This window comes from Homo sapiens, chromosome 16, assembly GCF_000001405.40.
Source record: "Homo sapiens chromosome 16, GRCh38.p14 Primary Assembly".
Taxonomy (NCBI): Eukaryota; Metazoa; Chordata; class Mammalia; order Primates; family Hominidae; genus Homo; species Homo sapiens.
Window position 1 is genome coordinate 87,493,490 of NC_000016.10, and position 26,218 is coordinate 87,519,707.

Genomic DNA, 26,218 nt, shown 5'->3' on the forward strand with positions numbered 1-26,218 from the left:
AGGCGCCTCCCCGGGAAAAAGAGGGTAATAATAACCGCCCCCGAGGTTTGTGCGAAGGTGTTGAGCTCACAGAGGGCCGGCACCGGCACTTTTGAGGCGGCTGACTTGCCCTGGGGGTGTGATGGGAGGTGCAAGCTTTCTCCAAAAGCCTCGTCCAAATGGAGCCTTTAAATCCGCCTTCTTTCCGCGGCTACTTCACCAGCTCGCCAAACGCAGAAAATGCAAACACAGGGGAGGGGGCAAGGGAGCTGACCTGGCTGGAAGTAAACAGAAACGCCACCCTCCCCTGGCACTTGCATTGGCACCGGATTGCAGGTGGGGGAAGGGCCGGTGCACCCAACCACCTTTAAATCCCACCACTTACACACAGGCATAGAAGTAGAGCCGCGGGGGCTGGACGCTCATTCCTCCCCTGCCCTTCCCCTAGAGCGCTGCTTTGAATGTCTGTTGATCTAGAACGGGGTCTGTTCATTCATGGGTTCCAGGTCCCAAGCGCCCGGGGGCAGCTGAGAGCAAAGCTGGCGCCCTCCCTACCCTGTGGAGCTTACACTCTGGTTCTGGGCAGTGCACACTAGAGATTGGTTAAATCAATGAATGAACTTTTTCAGGATATGGTCCAAGGTGCTGAAAACTTCCTAACAAAACTCTTCAGCCGAATCTGGCACGCCTGTGGTTCCAGCTACTGGGTAGACCGAGGCAGGAGGATCGCTTGAGGCCAAGAGTTTAAGACCAACCTGGGCAACATGGTGAGACCCCCCCTCCCCGCCCCAGTCGCTCCAAAACAAACAAACCCCACATTCTCCAGTCTTAGGTCTTCGAGGATGAACAGAGATTGCAGAAAGGCATGGTTGGGAACAAAAAAAATTGCTCTCCACTCCCCCAGCCCCCTCCACACCTTGGGCACATTTCCCTGGAGCTGCCCCAGTGTTCTTTGTCAGTGTAGGAAGAAGCAAAAATCTAAATGGAGTCAGGATGGCCTCCCACATGGGCACAAGGGCAAGGCTGGGGACAGTTGGGTCTCCTCATCTTATTTCCCAGGTCTAGGCTGATTTCTATTAATAATTAAATTAATCGTCGTTGTCCTGGACCTCACTTCTTAATGTGATTCCAGGGAACTGGCCACATTCCAAAATTCATAATCTAAGGTAGTGAAAGAACGTGAACATCAAGACAGTTTGGCTGGGCTCAGAGGCTCACATCTGTAATCCCAGTACTTTGGGAGGCCGAGGGTAGATCCCTTGAGCCCAGGAGTTCGAGACCAGCCTGGGCAACATGGCGAAATCCCATCTCTACAAAAACTACAAAAATTAGCCAGATGTGGTGGCATGTGCCTGTAGTCCCAGGTACTTGGGAGACTGCAGTGGAAGGATTGCCCGAGCCCGGGAAAGGGAGGTTGCGGTGAATGGGGATCCCGCCACTGCACTCCAGCCTGGGTGACAGCGTAAGACTCTGTCTCAAAAACAAAACAAAACAAAAGATTCATTTCTTATTGATAAAGCAAGCTCCTTGGAGAAAGATCTTGGAACCTCATTAGTGCTGGGGGTGGGGGTGGGGCTTCTTCAATCCAGCCGAGCTGGCTGTGAAACCCCCAGGCTTTGGTACCAAGTGAGCTCCAGTCCCAGCTGTGGCTGACTGTGTGAACTTGGCTATGCATTCAGAGGCCTCTGAGCCTCAGTTTCCTCATCTGTAGAAGACAGCCAGGAACCCGTCATCCTGGCTAGCAGTGGAAGTCAAAGGTGCTCATGGAAAGCCCTTGCTGGCTGGAACAAGGGAGGCCTGAGCTGTGGAAGTCCTTGGATCAAGGTCCTCCCCACTTCCCGCTGCCTTTTTGGTCCTTCTTGCGTGCTCTTTGTGATTTAATGGCTTAGTAGGTTGAATCATGTCCCCCCAAAGTTTATCTCTACCCCAAATCTCAGAATGTGACCTTATTTGGGAAAAGAGTCTTTGCAGATATAATTAAGGTAAGAGTCAAGATAAAATCACACTGAATTAAGGTGAGCCCTACATGCAATGAGACTGTCCTTACAAGATACAGAAAAGAACACATAGAGACTTCGGGGGAAAGGAGACTATGTGCAAGAATGGCAGAGATTGGAGCCAAGGAGTGCCTGGGCCTACCAGAGGCTGCAAGAGACAGGGAGGACCCTCCCCTAGAGCCTCCAGAGGGAACAGAGCCATGCCCACACCTTGACTTTGGACTCCTGGCCTCCAGAACTGTGAGAGGGTAAGTTGCTATTGTTTTCAACCCCCAACCCCCACCCTCCCCCACCCCCCGACCCTCTCCCACCCCCATCTCCCACCCCTCCCCCATCCCCATCTCCCACCCCCCCCCCACCCCTCCCCTACCCCCATCTCCCCACCCCTCCCTCACTCACGCGTGTTGTGGTTACTTGTAGGGCAGCCAGGGAAACCGAAACAATGTCATATCCCCCCAGACATCGGTGTGGCTCAGCTCAATCCAGTTCACAACAAATATGAAATCCCTGCCCTACAGGACCAGGCCTCAGGAAGGGCTTGGGGGCCTCAGAGGCAAATGAGACCAGGTCCATCGACCCTACAGAACTGACAACCTGGACTCCCCACTCTGAAGCAGGCAGGCTGCCTGAAGGAGGGGGCCTCCCTCATAAGGAGAGGGCAGACGCTGACCTCCCGGGCCCTCCAGCATTCTCTGGGTCCTGGCCCCGAGATTCTGGTTTTCCACACAGGGCACCTACTGTCTCCCGCTTCCCTGACTCTGCCCGTGCACAAGGTAACCCCAGCTGCAAGCGTGCCAGGAGCTTTTCTCCACCTCTGCCTCGACATCTGCCGCCTCTCCTCCTCTGGAGAGGGAGGCAGCTGAAGGACAGCAGCCCCACGCCTTGCTGGAGCGGCTGAGATCGCTGGGAGGAGGTTGGGAGAGGACTCAGGGGCTCAGGCTAGATCAGGAGGGTGGGCCCTGCCTCCTTGTGAGGGGGCCCAGCACCAGGGGGAGCCCACAGTCTAGGGTGCTGTTCAGCCAAATTGGCTACCACTGGGTGTGAGGTCTGTGGTTGTGCAGGGTTGAAGGGCTGGGTGTCATTTGCCTCTGAGGCCCCCAAGCCCTTCCTGAGGCCTGGTCCTATAGGGCAAGGATAGACTATTTATTGTAAACTGGGTTGCGCTGAGAGCCACACTCATGTTTAGGGGGAAATGCCATTTTATTGGTTTCCTGTGACTGCCCTACAAATAACCACAAAGAGGCGAGGGGAGAAGTGGGGGCTGTCCCTTCCACAGAGCTGCAATCAAGCACAAATGACTCTAATAGTATCAATTGTGAGAGAGAGAGAGAGATTTGGAGTTCACCACAAATTCCCCAAACAAACAATTTTACAAGAAGGACATGACCCGCCTGGCGTTACTGCTTAGTTCTGAATGAGTGATACCGACTGCAGCAGGTGACCAGGCCAAGCCCAGAAATGGGCCACAGGGACCCCAAGCACATGCTCTTCCCCCAGACTGCCACCATCTTGCTTTTCCTTCAGACCTAGGACCCCACGAGAGGAGGGATCTGGAGGCCAAGCCAGGAGCAGGACAACACCAACAGAGGCCTCAGAAGAAGACTCAGAGTGGGACAGGGGCTCCTTAAGTGATTGGGGCTGGAAGTGCGCAGAGAAGCCCGGCGCGGCAGGGAATTGTCTCTCCCTGGGGTGCTGCCAAGGTGTGTGTGGTCTCTAGCTGCAACGTGCGCTTCCTTCCCTTGGCCTGACTCCTGCTTTCCTGTCATTGAGAAGGTTTGGGACCTGACACCCTGAGCATGGAGGCCATAAATCCAGTGGATCCCTAAATTTCCTGATGGGGTCCTGGCTCCAGGCCTCGGTGCCTGACAGCCTCGTGTAATTGACAAAACCCCATGGAGCTGTTTCTGATACTGAATTCCCATCACGCAGATACTGAATGGTCAAGGGCTTCAGCCCGGGCCACACAGTTAGTTCATGTTGGAATTGGATTCTGCCCTAAGTCAATTGCCCATAGACTCTGCCCCTCCCAGGAGGAAACCACAAATGTGACATATTGTTTATTTGCTATTTTTGCAAAGGTGTCTGTTGCTTGCCAGCTTTTCCAGCCATGACTGCAGACAAAGTCCACCTAGAGTCATAAATGGGCAATCAGCCCCGAACAACGTCCAGACCCGGTTTCTGCACGGCGAGGCGTTTTTGTCCATGGCAGACTTGCTTACCCGGGTGTCTTTGGTGTGGGGCTAGATGCAGCATTTCCCCAGTGGGAATGGCCCGGGGTCTTATTTAAAGTGGAGGGTCCTAGGCCTGGCCCCACGTATGGAGTCAGGGTCCCTAGGGGTAGGACCTTGGAATCCGCATTTTTTTTTTTTTGAGACAGGGTCTCCCTCTGTCACCCAGGCTGGAATGCAGTGGCGCGATCTCAGCTCTCTGAAACCTCTACCTCCTGGTTCAAGCGATTCTCCTGCCTCGGCCTCCCGAGTAGCTGGTATTACAGGCACGCACCACCATGCCTGGCTAATTTTCTATATTTTTAGTAGAGATGGGGTTTCATCATGTTAGCCAGGCTGGTCTCCAACTCCTGACCTCAAGCCATACACTGGCCTCCGCCTCCCTAAGTGCTGGGATGACAGGTATGAGCCACCGTGCCTGGCCAGGAATTTGCATGTTTGCTAGTAACCCTGCTCATCTCAGTGCACACCAAAGTTTGAAACCACTGTTGGGGTGTGGAGCTCTTGCTTCCAGACTTCCAGGGCCTATGGATTGAACAACGGCAGCCACAGTAGTAATTAGAATTTTCAGTCTCAACCACAAGCCTGCCACGCAACAAGGGTTTCCTCCCGTTTTACAGATGAGGGACCTGAGGCTTCATAAGGCTGTTATTGACCTGAGGTCGCACAGCTGATGGCTCCTGGGTTCTTAGCGTTAAGTTTTGCGGCCTTATTTCTGTTGTATATTTGTTTCTCGTATTTCTGTGCTTCTTGCACTGCAATTGTGATATCCTCTAAAAGCCAAGGATGAACTCACTGCTGACCTTGGTTTTATTTGTTTGTTTGTTTTCACCTTCACTTGTGAAATGTGCAAACATACTCAAAAGTCAAGAGAATCATATGGTGATTTTTCATAGTCCCCTTTGGCCAGCTTCAGCAAAGATGACATTTTGCCACTCTTACTCCATCCATTTCTCTCACCCCACCCCCGACATACACACATGTTCTTTCTGGAGTATTTTCAAGCAAATACAGGATTTTTAAAAACATGTAAATGACTGTGTTGTTTTGTCTGATTATGATGCAATACATGTTCCTTATGAACATATTATAACTCGCTAAAAAACAATATAAAAAGCTACAAATCATCTCACTTCCCAGTCATAACCAACTCTAAAAGATACTCTTCTAGACACTTTTGTATTCAAATATATTTATGCACACATACTTTTACAAAAAAAAAGTATACGACACAAAAATAGGATGGTACTCCACATTTTGCAATCTATTTTTTTCACTTAACAATACATCCCAAATGTCTTTTCATATCCATGACTCTATTCTAAATCATGGCTCTTAAGGGCAACACAAATCTTTGTTTGATTTAGCATGATTTATTCAAAGAATCCCCTCTAGTTGGGCATTCAGGTTGTTTCTATGCTGAGAGAGTTTCCAAAGGCAGTCCTGCTTACCCTGGACTTTTCAAGAGGTTGACACCCGATCTGTCGCCTCTAGATCCTGTGTAGAGTTCAGAGAAGTATCAAGAAAGTGGAAGAACTGGAGAGCTTCCCAATGCCATCTGAATCATCTTCACGTTACCATCACTGTTTTGTTTGAAATGAAGTCTCAAGACATGAGACACTCCCAGACTCAAGTGTGGTTAAAAAAAACATTCCAAAGGCATATAACATATTGTTTGGGTGATGAGGTGTAACTCTAAAAGCTCTGTTTTTGAACAAACATACCAGGGCTCACCCAAACCCAAAACTCTGTCTCCTTCAAAGTCGTCACTCTAGAAGGCAGTACTCACACTGGGATAAAACTGTAATTGCTTGAAAATACATCTGTGAATTCCTCTTTTAAAACTGTTTCAGGATCTGGTGTCAGTAACTTTGGGACGTACTGCAGGCTGGAAAGCCTTCACGATTCAAGGTGGATTGATTTCTATAAATAGCCTGTGCCCACCAAATAAATTAGAAACAACAGAATCTATGATGTCTAGCTTGAGCAGAAACAGATTTATTAAATTATAACGACATCTCAAAGTCTCTGGAAGGGAGAGAGAACTAGGTGGGGATGCCATTTTTTGTATCTTGTTCAATAAGATGCCTGTTTTTGCCCGTTTTCTATCAGGTTTTTGGTCTATGTTTCTCTCCATTTTTAAGAGCTTTTATTGCGCGGGTGTGGCAGTGCATGAATCCCAGCACTTTGGGAGGCCGAGCTGGGCAGATCACTTGAGGCTGGGAGTTCAAGACCAACCTGGCCAGCATTGTGAAACCCCCGTCCCTACTAAAAATACAAAAACTAGTTTGGTGTGGTGGTGGGCACCTGTAATTCCAGCTACTTGGGAGTTTGGGGCAGGAGAATCGCTTGAACCTGGGAAGCGGAGGTTGCAGTGAGCTGAGATCACGCCACTGCACTCCAGCCTGGGTGACAGAGCAAGACTTCATCTCCAGCCTGGGTGACAGAGCAAGACTTCGTCTCAAAAAAGCAAAACAAAACAAAAACAACAAAAACTAAATAAATAAATAAATGAGTTTGAGGGCCATGCAAAAAATAAATGAGTGACACTGGATGGTATGATAAAATAGGGGGTGGTAAGGCTTGTGGCCAGTCAGAGATTAAAACTACTTGTTGTTTGTTTGTTTAAGAGACAGGGTTGCCGGGCGCGGTGGCTCACGCCTGTAATCCCAGCACTTTGGGAGGCAGAGGCGGGCAGATCACTAGGTCAGGAGATCGAGACCATCCTGGCTAACACAGTGAAACCCCATCTCTACTAAAAATACAAAAAATTAGAAGGGCGTGGTGGCAGGCGCCTGTAGTCCCAGCTACTCGAGGGGCTGAGGCAGGAGAATGGCATGAACCCGGGAGGCGGAGCTTGCAGTGAGCCAAGATTGCGCCACTGCACTCCAGCCTGGGCGACAGAGCAAGACTCCATCTTAAAAAAAAAAAAAAAAAAAAAAAAAAAAGAGACAGCAGGGTCTTGCTCTGTGGCCCAGGATGGCATGCAGTAGTGCGATCATAGCTCAGTGCAGCCTCGAATTCCTGGGCTCAAGAGATCCTCCCACCTCATCCTCCCTAGTAGCTGGGACCACAGGTGTGTGCCACCACACTCAGCTAATTTTTAAAATTTTTTGTAGAGACAGGGTCTTGCTTTGTTGGCCAGGCTGGTGTTGAACTCCTGGGCTCAAACAATCCTCCTGCCTCAGCCTTGCAAAGTGCTGGGAACACGTGTGAGCCGCGGTGTCGGGCCCTGTTTTTCTTTTTCTTTTTTTTAAGCACAGTTTCCTAGGGTGGCTGTAAACAAATGATCATGAACTGGATGACTTAAAACAACAGAAATTAATCCTCTTAGAGTTCTGGAGGCGGAGGCCAGAAATCAAGGTGTTGGCAGAGTTGGTTCCTTCTGAGGCCCTGAGGGCCTCTCTCCCAGCCTCCAAGGGCTGCTAGCCATCTGTGGGGGGCCTCCCCTGGTGGACTCATCACTCCAGTCTCTGCCTCTGTCTTCACGTGACTGTCTCCCCTGCGTGTCTATGTCCAAATTCCCCTCCCCAAGCTTGCAATTCACCTCCTCAGTCCCCCCACCACTTCCTCTGTGAAATGGATATAAAAATATCTACTTTACAACATGGCTGGGAGAATTAGTTGAGATGATGTTTAGCAAATGCTTAGCAGGTGCTCAGGAAACAGTGGCTGGCATTGCTTTGAGAAGGTCTTCACCCTGGTGTTGTTCTTCGTTTTGTTTTGAGACAGAGTCTCGCTCTTTCACCCAGGCTGGAGTGCAGTGGCGTGATCTCAGCTCACTGCAAATTCCACCTCCCAGGTTCACACTATTCTACTGCCTCAGCCTCCTGAGTAGCTGGGACTAGAGGCTCCCACCACCATGCCCAGCTAATTTTTTGTATTTTTAGTAGAGACAGGGTTTCACCGTATTAGCCAGGATGCTCTCGATCTCCTGACCTCGTGATTTGCCTGCCTTGGCCTCCCTAAGGGCTAGGAATACAGGCGTGAGCCACCACGCCCGGCCACCCTGGTGTTTTGAGGTAGGTGGGGATCCTGTGAAAGGCTACATCACGTAAACAACATAAACACAGCTAGTGCCCGGGTGGAAAGTGTCCCATCGCACTGGAGCTGTGAGCAAGCTCCTGATGCCAAATGAACACCCCTTACCTGTGTGTGTGTGTGTGTGTGTGTGTGTGTGTGTGTGTGTGCGTGCATATGTCTGTAGGGGCACATGTGTGGTATGTGGTCTGCATGTGTGTGTATGTGTGTGGTACGTTGGCGTGTATGTGGCATGTGTGATATGTGTGTTATGTGATGTGTATGTGTATATATGTGTAGGTGTGTGTAGGTATGTGATATGTATGTATTTGTGTGTGGTCTGTGTATACATGTGCAATGTGTGTATATGTGTTTGATATCTGTGTGGTGTGTGATTTGTGCATGGTGTGTGTATGCATGTGCTATGTGGTGTGTATACGTGTGTGATATCTGTGTGGTGTGTATGTGTGTATATGTGTAGGTGGTATGTGACATGTACGTATGTGTGTAGATGTGTGTGTGCATGATGTGTGTAGGTGTGTATTTTATATGTTGTGTTTATGTAAATGGCATGTGTGGTGTGTGTGTTGTGTGTGTGGCATGTGGTATGTGTGAAATGTGTGAGTGTCGTGTGGTGTGTATATGTGTATGTGTGGTATGTGTGTGGTGTGTATGTGGCATGTGGTATGTGTGAAATGTGTGTCTGTTGTGTGTGCTATGTGGTGTGTATATGTGTATGTGTGGCATGTGCTGTGTATGTGATTGTGTTTATGTGTGTGTGAGGTATGTGTGTTGTGTGTGGTGTATGTGTGGCATGTGGTATGTGTGAAATGTGTGAGTGTTGTGTGTGCTGTGTGGTATGTATATGTGTGTGTGGTATGTGTGTGGGGTGTATGTGGCATGTGGTGTGTGTGAAATGTGTGTGTGTTGTGTGTGTGCTATGTGGTGTGTATATGTGTGTGGCATGTGTTGTGTATGTGTGGTGTATGTGTTTATGTGTGGTATGTGTGAAATGTGTGTGCTATGTGGTGTGTATATGTGTATGTGCGGTATGTGTGTGGCATGTGCTTTGTATGTGTGTGATGTATGTATGTGTGTGTGTAGTATGTGTGTTATGTGTGGTGTGTATATGTGTGGTATGTGTGTGGCATGTGCCGTGTATGTGTGTGATGTGTGTTTATGTTTGTGGTATGGGTGTTGTGTGTCATGCGTGTGGCACGTGCTGTGTATGTGTGTAGGGTGTGGTGTATGTGTGGTGTGTGGCATGTGGTGTGTGTGGAATGTGTGTGTTCTATGTGCTATGTGTGTGTATATGTATGCCTGTGGTATGTGTGGTGTGTGCATGTGTGTGGCATGTGCTGTGTATGTGTGTGTGCTTGTGTTTACAACACAGACACCCCCACCTGAGTTTGGTGCAAGCAGCACCTTGTAAGAAAGCAATTCTGACAGTCACTGCCACAGTGGCTGCCTTGCCTGGAGCCGGCCGAGTGGAGGCGGAGGCAGGGGCTTAACACCGGGGCTTCCATCATGAGCGAAGCTGGTGCTGGCTGTTATCATTTGCAGATGAAACAACTGGGGCAGAGTGGTCACTTGCGAAGGATGGCCCGCCGGCCAGGACAGAGCTAGGGCTCAGGCTAGCAGCCTCACGGTGCCTCTCACCAAGCCTGGCCAGGCTAAGGGTTTTGGCACCGAAAACAGGGAGCGCAGAAGTGCCAGGGGACAAAGCACTTTCATGCCTCATTTAGCCCTGGTGACATGCTTTAAAATCAATAGGTCATTTTCCTCACCTGGCCGAGGGGGAAATCAGGCCCTGGGGGAGGCCAGCAGATACCAGCAGGGCTAGGACTTGAACCAAGCTCTCCCGATCCCAAATCCCACTGCCCCGTCCCCTCCAGAGCAGCTGTGGGTCAAGGCTGGGTCTGGATGATGACTCTGGCGAGGAGGGTCAAGTGGACCAGGTTCCTGAAGCCGCACAGCTGTGGCTGGTGTCCCGGATGCTGACGCCTGTTGAGACCTGCTGGTGGCTGGGGTTTCATGTCCTCATTTCACTTGGCCCTCACAACAATCTTGCAAGTAGAACATTCTTCCCCTTTTACAGATGAAGAAACTGAGGTTTAGAGCAGCCGCTTGCCCAGCGTAGACAGCGAGAAGGACAGGTCCAGTTCTGCTTGATGATGAAGCCTGTGTCTTCTCTGCTGTGTGATCCTAATCACGTTGGGAGGTTCCTGAGGAAGCAGAGGATTTTGCCCTTGCATTTGAGCCACAGCAGCTCTAGTAAGTACGTGTGTGTGCATATGTAGGTCCTGTGTTCCTACTGATACTAATACGTACAAATTGCATATTAATATATATTAACATGTATTACTATATAATAATACATATCTGAAAGCTGGCTTCAGCTTAAGACTTTGTTTGAGAGTGGTTTGAGGGTTAACACTTTTTTAACCTGCTGGTCCACCTGTCGTACATATGATATCTTGCACATATTTGAGTCTTGGCATGCCTGCTTCTTTTGTCTTACCCAGGGATGGCTCCTCACTAGGAGGCTGGCACAGAACCATTGGAACGACCACTGGTGTAAGACACAGTAAAGCCCACCTGTGTATTCCTGTGGAAGCTGGCCATGACAATACACATAGACCAGAGGCTTAATTAAATTCTCAGCTCCTTGAGAGCAGGAGTCAGGGCTGAGGCTGATTAAGTTTCTCACTTTGGATTTCCAGCTCCGGATGGGTACCATGTATGCAGTTGGTGCTTATTAAATGTTTGCTGGTGGTCTTTCTGCCTTTTTTTTTTTTTTTTTTTTTTTGAGATGGAGTGTCACTTTGTCGCCTAGACTGGAGTACAGTGGTGTGATCTTGGCTCACTGCAACCTCTGCCTTCTGGGTTCAAGTGATTCTCCTGCCTCAGCCTCCCTAGTAGCTGGGATTACAGGCGCCCACCACCACACCCAGCTAATACTTGTATTTTTAGTAGAGATGGGGTTTCGCCATGTAGGCCAGGCTGGTCTCGAACTCCTGACCTCAAGTGATCCACCTGCCTCAGCCTCCCAAAGTGCTGGGATTACAGGTGTGAGCTACCATGCCTGGCATTTTATTTTTATTTATTTATTTTTTTTGAGACGGGGTCTCGCTTTGTCACTCAGGCTGGAGTGCAGTGGTGCAATCTTGGCTCACTGCAACCTCTGCCTCCCGGGTTCAAGTGATTCTCCTGCCTCAGCCTCCTGAGTAGCTGGGACTAGAGGCTCCCACCACCACGCCCAGCTAATTTTTGTATTTTTAGTAGTGACGGGGTTTCACCATGTTGGCCAGGTTGGTCTTGAACTCCTGACCTCAGGTGATCCGCCTCCCTCGGCCTCCCACAGTGCTGGGATTACAGGCGTGAGCCACCATGCCCGGCCTGTTCTGGCTTCTTACATACATTTTTACAATGCTTCTCCCAAACAGAAACATTTTCTTCTATAAAGATTATGGTACTACGTTAATTTCTCCAAAGAGTGGGCTATGTCATCTACGAATTATGGTTTGTCATGTATAACTATGGTTTTACCCAAATGCTTGTAAAGTGGAATTTTCCCAAAATATTGTTAATATTTTCTTATAACATGGCATTCATCTCAGGAAGGGAAAGACTTGAACTGGAAGAGAATTCAGCAGTCATCCAGATTAACTCTTTAATTAGCAAATAAGGAAGGTAAAGTTCAACATGTCAGAGGGACTTCCAGGGGTCAACCGGCAAATCCACTTAGTAACCTATATTTGGGAACCGGTTGCTGGTGCAGAAAATAACTGATCGATTCACAATATCTTCAGATTCTGGATCAATTATATGCTTGGCCAAATTTTTCTTCAATAGATGTGAGAACATTTTTCAGTAACGTGTTCTGTTCACTATCCATCCAAGCTTCTGTCATTAGATAAGACTTCACCCATGTAACCTGCTACCTAGACACGCTCGGAGGGCCGGGGCTGGGTGTGCTTGCTCAGGGTGGCTAGTATATACATTTGTTGAATGAATGGCTGATGGAACTTGAATTGAATCACAGTATATTACTTTCTCATTTATTCCAATGGTCCACTTAGTATAGATCCTGCACTATCCTGTTTAGTTGCTTCTGGGTTTTAGTGATAAATGCCTTTGGTTGCAATTAACAGTGACATAAACATATGGAGGGTTATTTTCCCACAGAACAAGAAGTCCAGAGATGGGCAGTTGCTAACGCTGCACCAGCAATGATGCTCAGTTATGTTGGAACAGCAGCCACAATTCTCTTGGCTTTTCCTCATGGTAGCAGTATGACTGCCATAGCTCCAAGCATCGCATCCTGCATTCAGTGCAAGAAAAAGGGAGTAAGGGATGAAACCAGCAGATGAGGAAAAGCAAATGCTTCTTTTTCCCCCAGAGAAACCCTCTAATAGATTTCTGCTTCAATCTCATTTGCCAACACTGTACCAATGGCCACCCATAGCTGCAAAGGAGATGAGGAAGGACAGTGGGCAGGATCTGACCAGAGTCTTTGCGATTGAGCTTGCTCTCTTATGCCTCTGCCATCACCCACAGAGAAACATGCCAAGTTAGCCGTCTGGTCCCACGAGAAACATGGGAAACGGGGATCAGAGCCATCCTAGCCGAACTCAGCCCAGATCAGCAGGCCTTAGTGGACCCCAAGATAGGTAAGTCCAGAGCTGCCCAATTGAACCCAGTCTAGATCAGCTGACCCTCAGCCTCCTCTGCTGCAGGTGTGTGAGAATTAATGAGTATTGTTTGTCAATGATTTCTTATTCGGTATGTTTGTAGCCATGGTTAATGGATACAGAAGGCAAACTTCATTGTTTACCATGGGGTCAGTATCAGAGCACTTATTAAGGCAGACACTGGGGCATAGGAAAGAGGATCAAGGCACAGTGTCTCCCCTGAGGAATTTATGTCCCCAGCTGGCGAGCATGACGCGTACGTGAGTAAATGAAGCCCCAGCATCATGTTGCTTTACTGTGACATTTCTTGTGTCATCATCTCCTCGACAACAGAAGCTACTGTGTGCCTGGCATCATGTTAGGCTTTTTACACATTTAATCCTCAACACAGCCCTGCCCCAGGTAGGGTGCGTTGGGCTGCACACATCAGAAAATACAACTCAAAGGGCCTAAGCCATTGTCAAGAAGTCCTGAGGTCTGAGGCTCTCCAGAGTTGGTTGACTCATTAACTCAAGGACACCACTGAGGACCCAAGCTCTTTCCGTCTATACATTCTGCCCTCCTAGCGTGTCGGCCTCAGCCTCAGCCTGGCTGTCCTCATACACTCAAGTGGCTGCAGCCATTCCAGCCAGCAGCCAGTAGCAGAAGAAAGACTATAAAGGCAAAAAAATACCTTTCCCCGAAGCCCCTCTGCAGACTCTCATTGGCCGGATTGTCTCACTTGGCCATGGTTAAACCACCCAGGAGAATACAGTCACCATGGCCACCCTTGAACAGTTAGACTATGCCTTCTGGGGCTGGAGCCAGGCTCCTCTGAAGGCCATGGCTGTGCAAAGAGTGTGAGTGCCAGAACACAATGAGAGTTCTATCTGTAAATGAGGCTAGTACGGCTCAGAGAGGTTATATAACTTGTGTGAGGTCACACCTGGTAAGCTATAGTGCCGGGTTTCCAACCTGGATCTGTCTGACTCCAGATCTCCCCTAGACCTCGGCTGCTTTCCACAGGGTGGTGGGCCGAGGCTGCTGTCATCCCGGGCTGCTGCTACCCTGCTGCTCCCGCACTCTTTGTGGTCATCCTCCTGCATTACAGCCCATTTTCAATCACGTAGGTGCTCAGTAATCACTCATTTTTCAACTGGGCAGATACATTCACAGTCCCGGATCATCACATGGACTCATTCCAGCAATGTTGTCTGCAGGCCAGGTCTGCCAGATGAATCCCCGCCCCACCGGCAACGGATTCCGCAGCCCGTGGACACACTTTCTTCCTTCCCGTTCACGTGGCTATTTCTCTGAGAACCAGCAGCAGTGCTAGGAGGAGGGAAGGAAGTTATTGACTCTGTCACTCATTAGCATCTCCGAGGAAGTGTGACCAGGAGGAGGCTGGAGAGGCTGTCTATCCGTGGTTTCCTGCTGTTGAACCCATGGCTGGCCCTGACGGAGGACACCTGCGGAATAGGCACGTTGTCCACAACATTCTCAATCCTCAGCGTTCACTTGGATCTTGTGCCGTGATTATCACTCGCATGAACACTAGCTTCCGCCCTGCCTTGGCCCCGAGCAGACTGCGCTGGAATGCTCCTCACCCTGTCAGCTTATTAATGGTTAGCAGCTCTTAATAAGTGAGAGCATTGGAAAAGGCTAGCGCTTTGGAAACCTGACTTCTGTACTTCCTATCTGTGTGGGCTTGGGTGTGCCTTACTCCGTCTGTGCCTTGGTTTTCTCACTGTGTAATGCGTAATGCCTTGCAGCATTGCTGTGTGGCTCGAGGACCATGAATATTGAGGATCCAGCGCATTGTAGGCACCCAAGAGCGGTGGACACTGATACCATTATCAATGGACTTGGGCCAGTAAAACAGGGAGGAAGTCAAGGCTCCTAAGTGAAACCATTGAGTTGTTTGTTTGTTTTGAGATGGAGTCTCACTCTGTTGCCCAGGCTGGAGTGCAGTGGTGCAATCTTGGCTCACTGCAACCCTCCGCCTCCCGGGTTCAAGCGATTCTCCTGCCTCAGCCTCCCGGGTAACTGGGACTACAGGCGCACGCCATCACACCCAGCTAAATTTTGTATTTTTGGTGTAGAAGGGGGTTCACCATGTTGGTCAGGCTGGCCTTAGGCTCCTGACCTCAAGTGATCCACCCGCCTCGGCCTCCCAAAGTGCTGGGATTATAGGTGTGAGCCACTGCGCCTGGCCGAAACCATTGAGTTTTACGAACTTCAGTGCCAATTTATTACAGCCCTTGGGGTGTGGCCTGCGTTGGACTCTAGTGAAGAGAGTTGAATCTCCTAGTAGTCAGCTGGCATCTTAGCATACACTGAAGCAGGGGTTGACATTTTTCTATGAGGACAGGCTTCAAAGTCTTTCGAGCTTCCTTGCTTTGTCCAGGGAACTGGGAAAGAAAAATTTAAGGGATTTATGCTGCCTTCTGGGTAGGAGTGTAACTTCCTGTTGCTGCTGTAACAATAGTTACCACACACTCAGTTGCTTAAAACAACACAAATTTATTCTCTGACAGTTCTGGAGGCCAGAAGTTCAAAATGAGTTCCATGAGTTTAAAACCAAGGTGTCATCAGGGCTGGTTCTTTTTTTTTTTTTTTCCTTGAGACCGAGTCTCACTCTGTCGCCCAGGCTGCAGTGCAGTGGCGCAATCTCCGCTCACTGCAAGCTCCTCCTCCCGGGTTCAAGTGATTCTCCTGCCTCAGCCTCCCAAGTAGCTGGGACTACAGGCGCCCACCACCACGCCTGGCTAATTTTTTGTATTTTTAGTAGAGACAGGGTTTCACCATGTTAGCCAGGATGGTCTCGATCTCCTGGCCTTGCAATCTGCCCGCCTTGGCCTCCCAAAGTGCTGGGATGACAGGTGTGAGCCACCGCACCTGGCTAGGGCTGGTTCTTTCTGGAGGCTCAGAGGGGAACCCATTTCCTTGTCTTTTCCAGTTTCTAGAAGCTGCCTACAGTCCTTGGCTCATGGCTCCTTCTCTATCTCCAAAGTGCATCACTCTGCCCTCTGCTTCCACAGTCACATCCCCTTCTTTTACCTTTGAACTTCTTGTCTCCCTCTTTTCTTTTCTTTTTTTCTTTTTCTTTCTTTCTTTTTTTTTTTGAGACAGGGTTTCACTCTGTCACCCAGGCTGGAGTGCAGTGGTGTGTTCACAGCTCACTGCAGCCTTGACCTCTTGGGGCTCAAGCGATCCTCCTGCCTCAGCCTCCAAGTAGGTGGGACCACAGATGTGTACCACCATGCCTGGCTAACTTTTTAATTTTTTGTAGAGACGAGGTCTCCCTTTGTTGCTCAGGCTGGTCTTGAACTTACTCAGTATCATGAGAACAGCACGAGGGAAACTGCCCCCATGATTCAATTACTTCCCACCAGGTCCCTCCCACAACATGTGGGCATTATGGGATTACAATTCAAGATGAGATTTGAGTGGGGACACAAAGCCAAACCATATCATTTCACCCCTGGCCCCTCCCAAATGTCATGTCCTCACACTTCAAAACACAATCATGCACTTCCAACCGTCCCCCAAAGTCTTAACTATTCCAGCATGAGCCCAAAAGTCCAAGTCCAAAGTCTCATCTGAGACAAGGCAAGTCCTTTTCACCTTTGAGCCTGTGAAATCAAAAGCAAGTTAGTTACTTCCCAGATACAATGGGGGTACAGGCATTGGGTAAATGCACCCATTCCAAATGAGAGAAATTGGCCAAAACAAACGGGCTACAGGCCCCACGCAAGTCCGAAATCCAATGGGGCAGTCATTAAACCTAAAAGTTCCAAAATGATCTCCTTTGATTCCATGTCTCACATCCAGGTCACGCTGATGCGAGAGGTGGGCTCCCACGCCCCTCCCAGCTGCTTTCGTGGGCTGGCGTTGAGTGTCTGTGGCTTTTCCAGGTGCACAATGCAAGCTGTTGGTAGATCTACCATTCTGGGGCCTGGAGGATGGTGGCTCTCTTCTCACAGCTCCACTAGGCACTGCCCCAATGGGGACTCTGCGTGGGGGCTCCAATCCCACATTTCCCTCCTGCACTGCCCTAGCAGAGGTTCTCCATAGCAGGGAGCTCCACCCCTGCAGCAAATTTCTGCCTGGACATCCAGGTGTTTTCATACATCCTCTGAAATCTAGGTGGAGGTTCCCAAACCTCAATTCTTTTTTTTTTTTTTTTGGAGACAGAGTCTTGTTCTGTTGGCCAGGCTGGAGTGCAGTGGCATGATCTCAGCTCACTGCAACCTCTGCCTCCCGGGCTCAAGCAATTCTCCTGCCTCAGCCTCCCGAGTAGCTGGGATTACAGGGGTGTGCCACCATGCCTGGCTAATTTTTGTATTTTTAGTAAAGACGGGGTTTCACCATGTTGGCCAGGCTGGTCTTGAACTCCTGACCTCAGGTAATCCAGCCGCCTTGGCCTCCCAAAGTTCTGGGATTACAGGCGTGAGCCACCGTGCCTGGCCCAAACCTCAATTCTTGACTTCTGTACACCTGCAGGCCCAACACCATGTGTCAGCCACCAAGGTTTGGGGCTTGCACCTTCCGAAGCAATGGCCTGAGCTGTGTGTTGGACCCTTTTAGCCACAGCTGGGATGCAGGGCACCAAGCCCCGAGACTGCACAGAGCAGCAAGGCCCAGGGCCTGCCCCTCGAAATCACTTTTTCCTCTTAGGCCTCCAGGCTTGTGATGGGAGGGGCTGCTGTGAAGGTCTCTGACATGCCCTGGAGACACTTTCCCCATTGTCTTGTCAATTAACATTTGGCTTCTTGTTACTTATGCAAATTTCTGCTGCTGGCTTGAATTTCTTCTCAGAAAATAGACTTTTCTGGCCGGGCACAGTGGCTCATGCTTGTAATCCCAGCACTTTGGAAGGCCGAGGGGAGTGGATCACCTGAGGTCAGGAGTTCGAGACCAGCCTGACCAGTCTGGTGAAACCCTGTCTCTACTAAAAATACAAAAATTAGCCAGGCGTGGTGGCAGGTTCCTGTAATCCTGGCTACTCAGGAGGCTGAGGCAGGAGAATTGCTTGAACCTGGGAGGTGGAGGTTGCAGTGAACGGAGATCATGCCACTGCATTCCAGCCTGGGCAACAGAGCAAGACTCTGTCTCAAGAAAACAAAGAAACAAAAAAAACCCAGAAAATAGGTTTTTCTGTTCTATCACACTGTCAGGCTGCAAATTTTCCAAACTTTTATGCTCTACTTCCCTTTTAAACACACGTTCCAATTCCAAACCATACCTTCGTGACTACATAAAACTGAATGCTTTTAAGAGTATCGAAGTCACCTCTTGAATGCTCTGCTGCTTATACATTTTTTCCACCAGATACCCTAAATCATCTCTCTCAAGTTCAAAGTTCCACAGATCTCTAGGACAGGGGCAAGATGCTGCCAGTCTATTTGCTAAAGCATAGCAAGAGTCACCTTTGCTCCAGTTCCCAACAAGTTCCTCACCTCAATCTGAGACCACTTCAGCCTGGACTTCATTTATTCACATCACTGTCAGCATTTTGGTCAAACCATTCACCAAGTCTTTAGGAAGTTCCAAACTTTCCCACATCCTCCTGTCTTCTGAGCTCTCCAAGTCTCCAGGAAGTTCTAAACTTTCCCACATTTTCCTGTCTTCTTCTGAGCCCTCTGTTCCAACCTCTGCCAGTTACCCAGTTCCAAAGTCGCTTCTGCACTTTCAAGTATCCTTATAGCAGCACCCTACTCCCAGTACAAATTTACTGTATTAGTCTGTTCTCAGGCTGCTGTGAAGAAATACCCAAGAGTGAGTAATTTATTTTTATTTATTTATTTTTATTTATTTATTTATTTTGAGACGGAGTCTCACTGTCACCCGGGCTGGAGTGCAGTGGCACAGTCTGGGCTCACTGCAAGCTCCACCTCCCAGGTTCATGCCATTCTTCTGCTTCAGCCTCCCAAGTAGCTGGGACTACAGGCGCCCACCACCACGCCCAGCTAACTTTTTTGTATTTTTAGTAGAGACGGGGTTTCACCATGTTAGCCAGGATGGTCTCGATCTCCTGACCTCATGATCCGCCTGCCTCAGCCTCCCAAAATGCTGAGATTAAAGGCGTGAGCCACCGCGCCCGGCATTTTTTTTTTTTTTTTTTGAGACAGAGTCTTGCTTTATCACCCAGACTGGAATGCAGTGGCATGGTCTCAGCTCACTGCAACCTCTGCCTCCTGTGTTCAAGCAATTCTCCTGCCTCACCCTCCCCAGTAGATGGTATTGCAGGTGCGGGCCACCACACCTGGCTAATTTTTATATTTTTGGCAGAAACGAGGTTTCCCCCATGTTGGCCAGGCTGGTCTCGAACTCCTGACCTCAGGTGATCTGTCCACCTCAGCCTCCCAAAGTGCTGGGATTACAGGCATGGGCCACTGCGCCCTGCCCTTATTATTATTATTTTTTTTTGTGGAGACAAGGTCTCACTGTGTTGCCCAGGTTGATCTTGAATTCCTGGCCTTAAGTAATCCTCCCACCTTAGCCTCCCAAAGCATTGGCATTAAAGGCATGAGCCACCACACCCGGCCAAGATACATAACTTAATCACATCTGCAAAGTCCCTTTTACCACATGAGGTCACATCCACAGGATCTGGGGATTAGGACGTGGGCATCTTTTTGGGGGCCGTGATTCACTCTGCCACAGTGGGTACACAGCAAGCCAATGATGGGGGTAATTAAGTTAGCATTAAATATCCCACGTGTTCTATGTTCTAGAGCAGTGATCATGCCCCTGGGGTGTGAGGTGATCCACTGAGGACCAGGAAGAAGAGATGAGATTATTGCTTAAGATTAAGCAAGAAATCAGGTTTTATGAATATTGACTCTGAGCTGACACTGGCTCTCTGTACCCATGACAGTCTAGTCAGAAAAACAGAAAACGCACTGGTTAGTTTAGCAGAGAGAATTTAATATTGGGCATTGGTGGAATGAGGAATGGAGGACTAAAGAGGCAGAAGGGGGACCTGAGGTCACAGGCAGGGACACCCCTCAGGCTTGGTGGCACTGCGGTGGTGGCTTCTCAGCTGTCACCCAAGGGAACCTTGCAGGATGAATGGGAGTTTCACGGTGAAGTCCCATCTGACAGTTTGTTAGCTCTTTTTTTTTTTTTAAGTGAGACAGGGTCTTGGTCTGTCAATCCAGGCTGGAGTGCGGTGGTGCGATCTCAGCTCACTGCGACCTCTGCATCCTGGGCTCAAACAATCCTCCTGCCTCAGCCTCCCAAGTAGCTGGGACCAGAGGCATGCGCCAACACACCTGGCTAATTTTTATATTTTTTGTAGAGATGGGGCCTCACTGTGTGGCCCAGGCTGGTCTTGAACTCCTGGGCTCCAGCAATCTGCCCACCTTGGCCTCCTAAAGTGCTGGGATTACAGGCGTGAGCCACCACACCTGTCTGTTACATCTTAAAATATGGCAACATACGTTGGTGAAGTATTGGCTTACCAGAGTGGATCTGTAGCTGCTGGTACCTATCTTGTCTGGTTCTAACTAAATTCGGTGTATGCCTTAAAAAGATTCATACAAAGGAACTGTGGAATGAAGGAAACACTAACAAGCCAAGCAGAGTAAAGAGTGAGAACGCATCAGAGCAGCTGTCTTATTCCTGGCCTGTGCTCTTGGTCAGACATATCCCAAGGTAAAAACAAAGGCAGCCAGCCAGTCAGCCCGCAGAGGACAGTCACACGAACCCTAATTATCCAGAAGTCTAGTCGAAGTACAGATTAGAAAATCCATCATTGTTGACAATAATCCTCACCCCAAATGCATATTTTGCCTTGAGATGTAATGGAAACCATCATAATTAGCAAGACATTAAAAAGAATATTGTTTGTTTAATCTTTTACTTGGCATTTAGAAATTTCCATTTTGGCTGGGCGTGGTGGCTCACGCCTGTAATCCCAGCACTTTGGGATGCCGAGGCGGGTGGATCACCTGAGGTCAGGAGTTCAAGACCAGCCTGGCCAACATGGTTAAACCCCGTCTCTACTAAAAATACAAAAATTGGCCAGGTATGGTGGTGTGCACCTGTAATCCCAGCTACTCAGGGGGCTAAGGCAGGAGAATCTTGAATCTGGGAGGTGCAGGTTGCAGTGAGCCAAGATCACACCACTGTACTCCAGCCTGGGCAACACAGCAAGACTCCATCTCAAAAAAAAAGTCCATTTTGTTAGGAGTTTTATGATTATACATAAAATATGAGAGCAGCAATGCATATATATAATTCTTAAGTTTTAAGATACACGTATATGGTGGGCACCTGCGGGAAAGGTTTTGCCCATTAGGATCTATGATCTAAACACTTTGGAGACTCCTGCCCTGAAGAATTCATGTCTATGAGCTATCCAAAAACCCAGACCAGGCCGGGCGTGGTGACTCATGCCTGTAATCCCAGCACTTTGGGAGGCCAAGGCAGGCAGATCACTTGAGGTCAGGAGTTCAGGACCAGCCTGGCCAACATGGTGAAACCGCATCTCTACTAAAAATACAAAAATTAGCCAGGTGTGGCAGTGTGCGCCTGTAATGCCAGCTACTCGGGAGACTGAGGCAGGAGAATCGCTTGAACCCGGGAGGCAGAGGTTGCAGTGAGCTGAGATCATGCCATTGCACTCCAACCTGCACAACGAGAGCAAAACTCCGTCTCAAAAAATAAAAAAAAAAAGCTCAGATTAAACAATGATTATAGATGTTTTATGAAATCAATCAAGAAAGTTCATAAAGAGGATGACCACAATTTTTTTTCTGTCTGCAAGATCCGTATTTGTTGTTCTGTGCCACATTAATGATTACATAACAATTATATAATGTATATATCCAGGCCTTGATAATTGCCATTGTCTACAAGATGCTCTAGAAGTCCAAAGGGAAAATGAGCCTGAGAAAGTCCAATAGGGCTTCACAGAAAAGGTGGCATTTAAACTAGGCCTTGCTTGGAGCTGGAGAGTTCCACATGGCTAGGGAGGCCTCACAGTCGTGGTGGAAGGTGACAGGCAGGTCTTAATTAATGAAGCTTTAAATGTTTTTTCATTGGGGCCAGGCATGGCAGCTCACACCTACAATCTCAGCACTTCAGGATTACTTTTTTTTTTTTTTTTTTTTTTTTAAGCAGAGGGTCTGTAACTTTCACCAGATTCTTAAGGAGTCTGTGACCTGGGAGAGTTTTAAGAGTGGGAAAGCTGTAAGGCCACGCTCAGGCTGGATTCCAGCCGTGGGACCCCTCGCTTCACTTCTCTGAGCCTCAACTTCCTCATCTGTGCAATGGGGCAGCCTCGTGGACATGCAGGATTGCAGTTCTGGACATGCAGAGCCTGGCATCCAGAGGAGCCCAGCGCCCGCCAACTGCAGCACCCAGCACCAGCAACCCCAGGGTTGGGGGCTGACTCCATTCTTCTCCCCAGGGCTACACCAGCTCTAGCTTCCTGGCCGCCAGTTTCCCCAGCAACTTCATTTTGTTTATTTGCAATGGCTTATTGGGGTCTCCTGGAGAAAAGATTCTCAGCTGAGTTCCAGAAAATGAACACGCTCTCCCCGTGCTCGGAGAGCTCCCAGCTGTTCTCTTGGCTGGCCGGCTCAGAAGAAATGATGTTAGGAATGTTTATCTCGGAGGAAGCGGAAGAGCTCCTTTCAGCAAAATAAGAATGAACCACAAAACAGGGTGCAGGGGGCCTTGTCAAGGCATCATAGCGTGGTGCCATGGGAACATCCCCTTCCTTTGTCCTGCCTCAGCTGACAGTGCCTCGGAGATGCCCTGAGCTACGTCAGCCCGGCTGGCATCCAAGGGGTTCCTTATTGGCTCACAAGACACGTTGCTTTTTCAGGACCAGAGAGACTTGGAGGTCCTCACCTGCAGCCCTGGGCCTTTGTTTAGGCTGTGCTGTGAGGCTGGCTCTCTGTGGTCAGCATCTCAGCGTCCCTGCCTGGCCAGCAAAGGGGTGACATTTTCCTTGGGTGCCCTCTTGCAACATGGCGTTAAATTCTCAAAAAGGTGCAAACCCTTAGGGTGAAGTTTGTGTCTAGAATATAATGGTTAAGGGCCTCGGTTCTGGAGTCAGAATGACCAGGGTTTGGGTTCCGGCTCCATTGCTTTATAGCTGCCTGAGCCTCCGTTTCCCAGTGTGTGGAACAGCTGGTAACCAGCATTCCTACTCCCATGGGTGTTGGAGACATGAATGAGATCGTCATTACAAAGCGTTCAGCACAGGTTAAGTGCTGATAGGTGGAAAGGAGATAATCAGTGGTAGCGATTATTATTTTAGTTGTCTACTTATAAAATCAGAAAATCGGAAATAGAAAAATACAAAGAAGAAAACTAAAAGTGCATGTAGCCCCATGGCCCGGCAATCCGCGCCGCTGGCCTTTTGTTAGCTGTCCTTCCTGGTTTTTTCCTGTGGGTGTGTATGCATGTATATTTCATAGGATCTGGTCATTGTTGAATGAGGATAGTTTATGTATGTATAGACATGTTAGTTTTTTCTTAATACCAGGCATAATGTATCTTAACCCACTTTTTTAAAACTTAAAAATACATGGAGAACACATTCTCCAAATCATTACATTTTACCATATTGCATATTTTTTCACTTTGTAATGTTTCGAAGTAAGGATGTGTTTTAGAATCAATGTCGAAAGAAATGTGCCAGCTATTTCTTCTTTTTCCCCCCAAAAATGGGGGTTATGATGACACTGGTAATACAAATAACAAATGATGGCTTCTCAGATTCAAAGAAACACAGCAGCCTAAAAGATCCTTCTTAATTTCCACAAAGGATTCCTCAGTGCCAGTGTTGTCATTAGCTCAATTGACCTCTATTTTTGGACATTTTGGCTCCTTCGGTTTTTTTTTTCACTATTACCCACCATGCCGCACAATAGAGTCTGCAGGGAACGCAATTCGATGGGCCAACGCGCCCTGAGGGATGGAGGCGGGGTGGAAGGTGGAGGGACCTGAGATTTTCTGTCAAGGTCATGGCCAGCCTGTGCTGGCCTTGTAGGGAGAAAGATAGGGGATAAGTACCCCAGCCTCCCTCCCCGCCCTCTCTCACATCTCATGCCAGGGCTCCCCCAGCGGGAAGCAGAGAGGGTGAGGAAGGGCGAGGGTATGGTTCTCAGGCCAGCCCCTGGGCAGGGAGAGAGTGACCCTGGTTGGGCAGCCCTGTGGCCCAGCACACCAGCCCTGTGGAGCTGAGATGCCGGCTTTAGATGGGGGGACTTACAACACGGGCTTTCCCTTCCCCAGTGGAACAGAAGGCGCCGGCGAGAGGCCCTCCTTGTCAGCGCCAGGGACAGATTGCTCAAGAATCTGCGTGCTCCAAGGCACAAGAGGGGTGCTGTCTCCTTTTCTGGAGTTCCGTCTCATGCCTACGTTTCGGGTAGGATGCTATTTTTAAGTGACTGGCACCGTGGATCAGTACACTTGGAGGGAGGAGAGGGGATGCCACACATAGCAGGGGTGGGTGCTGCGAGCAGGGGTGGGGAGAGGAAAGGGGGCTGCGTTCGAGCCACTCTGACAATGAGGCTGAGGGCTGGCTGGCTGTCACACCCACGGCCGACATTAATCACATCCTGCCTGGCACTCCCCAGCAGCTCTGACACATGTGGCCGCACCCCACTTCTGGAAAGCTCCCCGCTCAGGCTCTGCAGAGCGTTTCTCGCGACACTTCCCGTGCTGGATCCGTGCCGCCAGCATGGATTCCTTCAGCCTGGCTCCGGCCTGGGGTGGGCTCTGAGCCGCCATGGGACTAGGCAGAACACGCTGTGTGCAATGCAAGGCTGAGCACGCTGGGCCCCTTCGGGATGCTGGCGGTTACATGGGCAGTGGGACGGGTGGAGTGACACGGAACATGCCTCAGTTGCTTCTCCAGCTAGGGTTTTGGGGTTGCAAGCAAGAGAACCTGGCTCTTGCTAACCATGTTGGGGCTGGAGGCAAGGGTTTACCGGTAGGACCTGAGCTAGCTACAGAGTGGAGAGGTAAGATGAGAGCCAGCCCACAGGAAGGCCGGAGTGAAACAGCGTTGGGGGCCTGAAAGATGGGGACTAACAAGCAGCCTCTGGCTGGGAGGTTCTTCCGGGATCAATTTGCTCCATGCTACAGAGGGGACTTGCTCAGGGCGACGTGGCTAATTGGAGGCACGGACAATCTCCGAACTCAGACCTCTGACGGATGCCGTCCTCTGACCAGCCTAAAGCTGCCGGGGTCCTCCCAGCTCAGGGACGCTGTCCTCACAGGAATGCCTAATGGGGCTTCCTCCCTGCCCATCCCAACCCCTGGGGCCACACATTGCTTATTTTGGATTACACCGGGCAGCCTGTGCCCCGGTCAGAGGCAGGGAGAGCTTGGGCAGGACTGGGGAGTGTGACTCATTTCTGTCTACCCAGCCAAGCACCAAAGGCGATGCTGGCAAGCGGGAGACGGTCCACAGCCACTCACCAGCAGCCAGAAGCCAGGCTCAGGACAGCCAGGCCTCAGCTTACACAGAGGCCACCAAAGAATGGCCCGGCAGGATGCCAAACCTCATTTATCTGAGCGGAGCAAGGCCGCCTGGTCAGTGTCCACTCCACACCCAGGCCCTCCTCTCTTTGCTGCGGCCACAGCAGACACGCCAGCTGCCCCATCGCTGCACAATGCCAAGCCTCCGTCCACCTCGCCCTGAACGCCCTTCCCCCGTGTCCCTCCTATCTCCGTGAACGTGGCATGAGAGAATTCACGCTCTGCAGTCAGAAATCCAATGCCTGGTGTCACAACTTCCCAGCTATAGATCTTGGGCGAGTTGCATCCCTTCTCTCTGCCTCAGTTTCCTCCTTTGTAAAATGGGGATAAGACCTTCTTTGCAGGGTTTGACAGCCAGGAATCAGGTGTGCAAAAGTGGAGGTGTGGTTCATCACAGGGGCCTGCTGTGGTGGCTGTCCTTCTCCTAATAGCCACATTCCCCGGACCCAGCTGGGAGGAATGTGCCAACCCCCGGTTTGCTCTCCCTCTTCCTGTCTCAGTGATCCAGGCCATAAAAATGGCTCCTCCCAGATGCTGTAAGATAGAAGCTGCATTGCCCTCGTGGCAGGAAGGGGACATTTGGGCTACTTCAAACCAAACCAAACAAAAAACTCACTGTCATCAATTCTTGCCTTCTAAAGGGAGGGGCACATTTCATCTTGGGGATGCTGGCCTGGGGATTCCAGCTAGCCAAGAGCAGAGGAAACATCATTTCCAAGCACCAGCTAGTGCTCTGTGCTGCTAGAAGTCCCAGAGTATCCTGTCCTGGCTCAGTTGAGCCCCTTAGTGAGCTCAGGACTCTTTTGGCTGC

The 26,218-nt window shown here is 49.7% G+C and overlaps 1 long non-coding RNA gene across 1 annotated transcript, besides 1 other annotated feature; it reads left to right on the forward strand.

Moving 5' to 3' along the window:
• The first annotated feature begins 697 nt into the window (after nucleotides 1-697).
• On the forward strand, nucleotides 698-22,141 carry ZCCHC14-DT (ZCCHC14 divergent transcript). Its single transcript, NR_110943.1, has 4 exons — nucleotides 698-746; nucleotides 10,323-10,498; nucleotides 12,693-12,897; nucleotides 22,027-22,141. It is a non-coding gene; the product is annotated as a ZCCHC14 divergent transcript (long non-coding RNA).
• Nucleotides 25,370-25,967: an enhancer, noted in NCBI's record as "H3K4me1 hESC enhancer chr16:87552465-87553062 (GRCh37/hg19 assembly coordinates)". NCBI's record gives its function as "activates a minimal SCP1, AML or CMV promoter by ChIP-STARR-seq in primed H9 embryonic stem cells {active_cell/tissue: H9 hESC(primed)}" and the evidence as "EXISTENCE:reporter gene assay evidence [ECO:0000049][PMID:30033119]".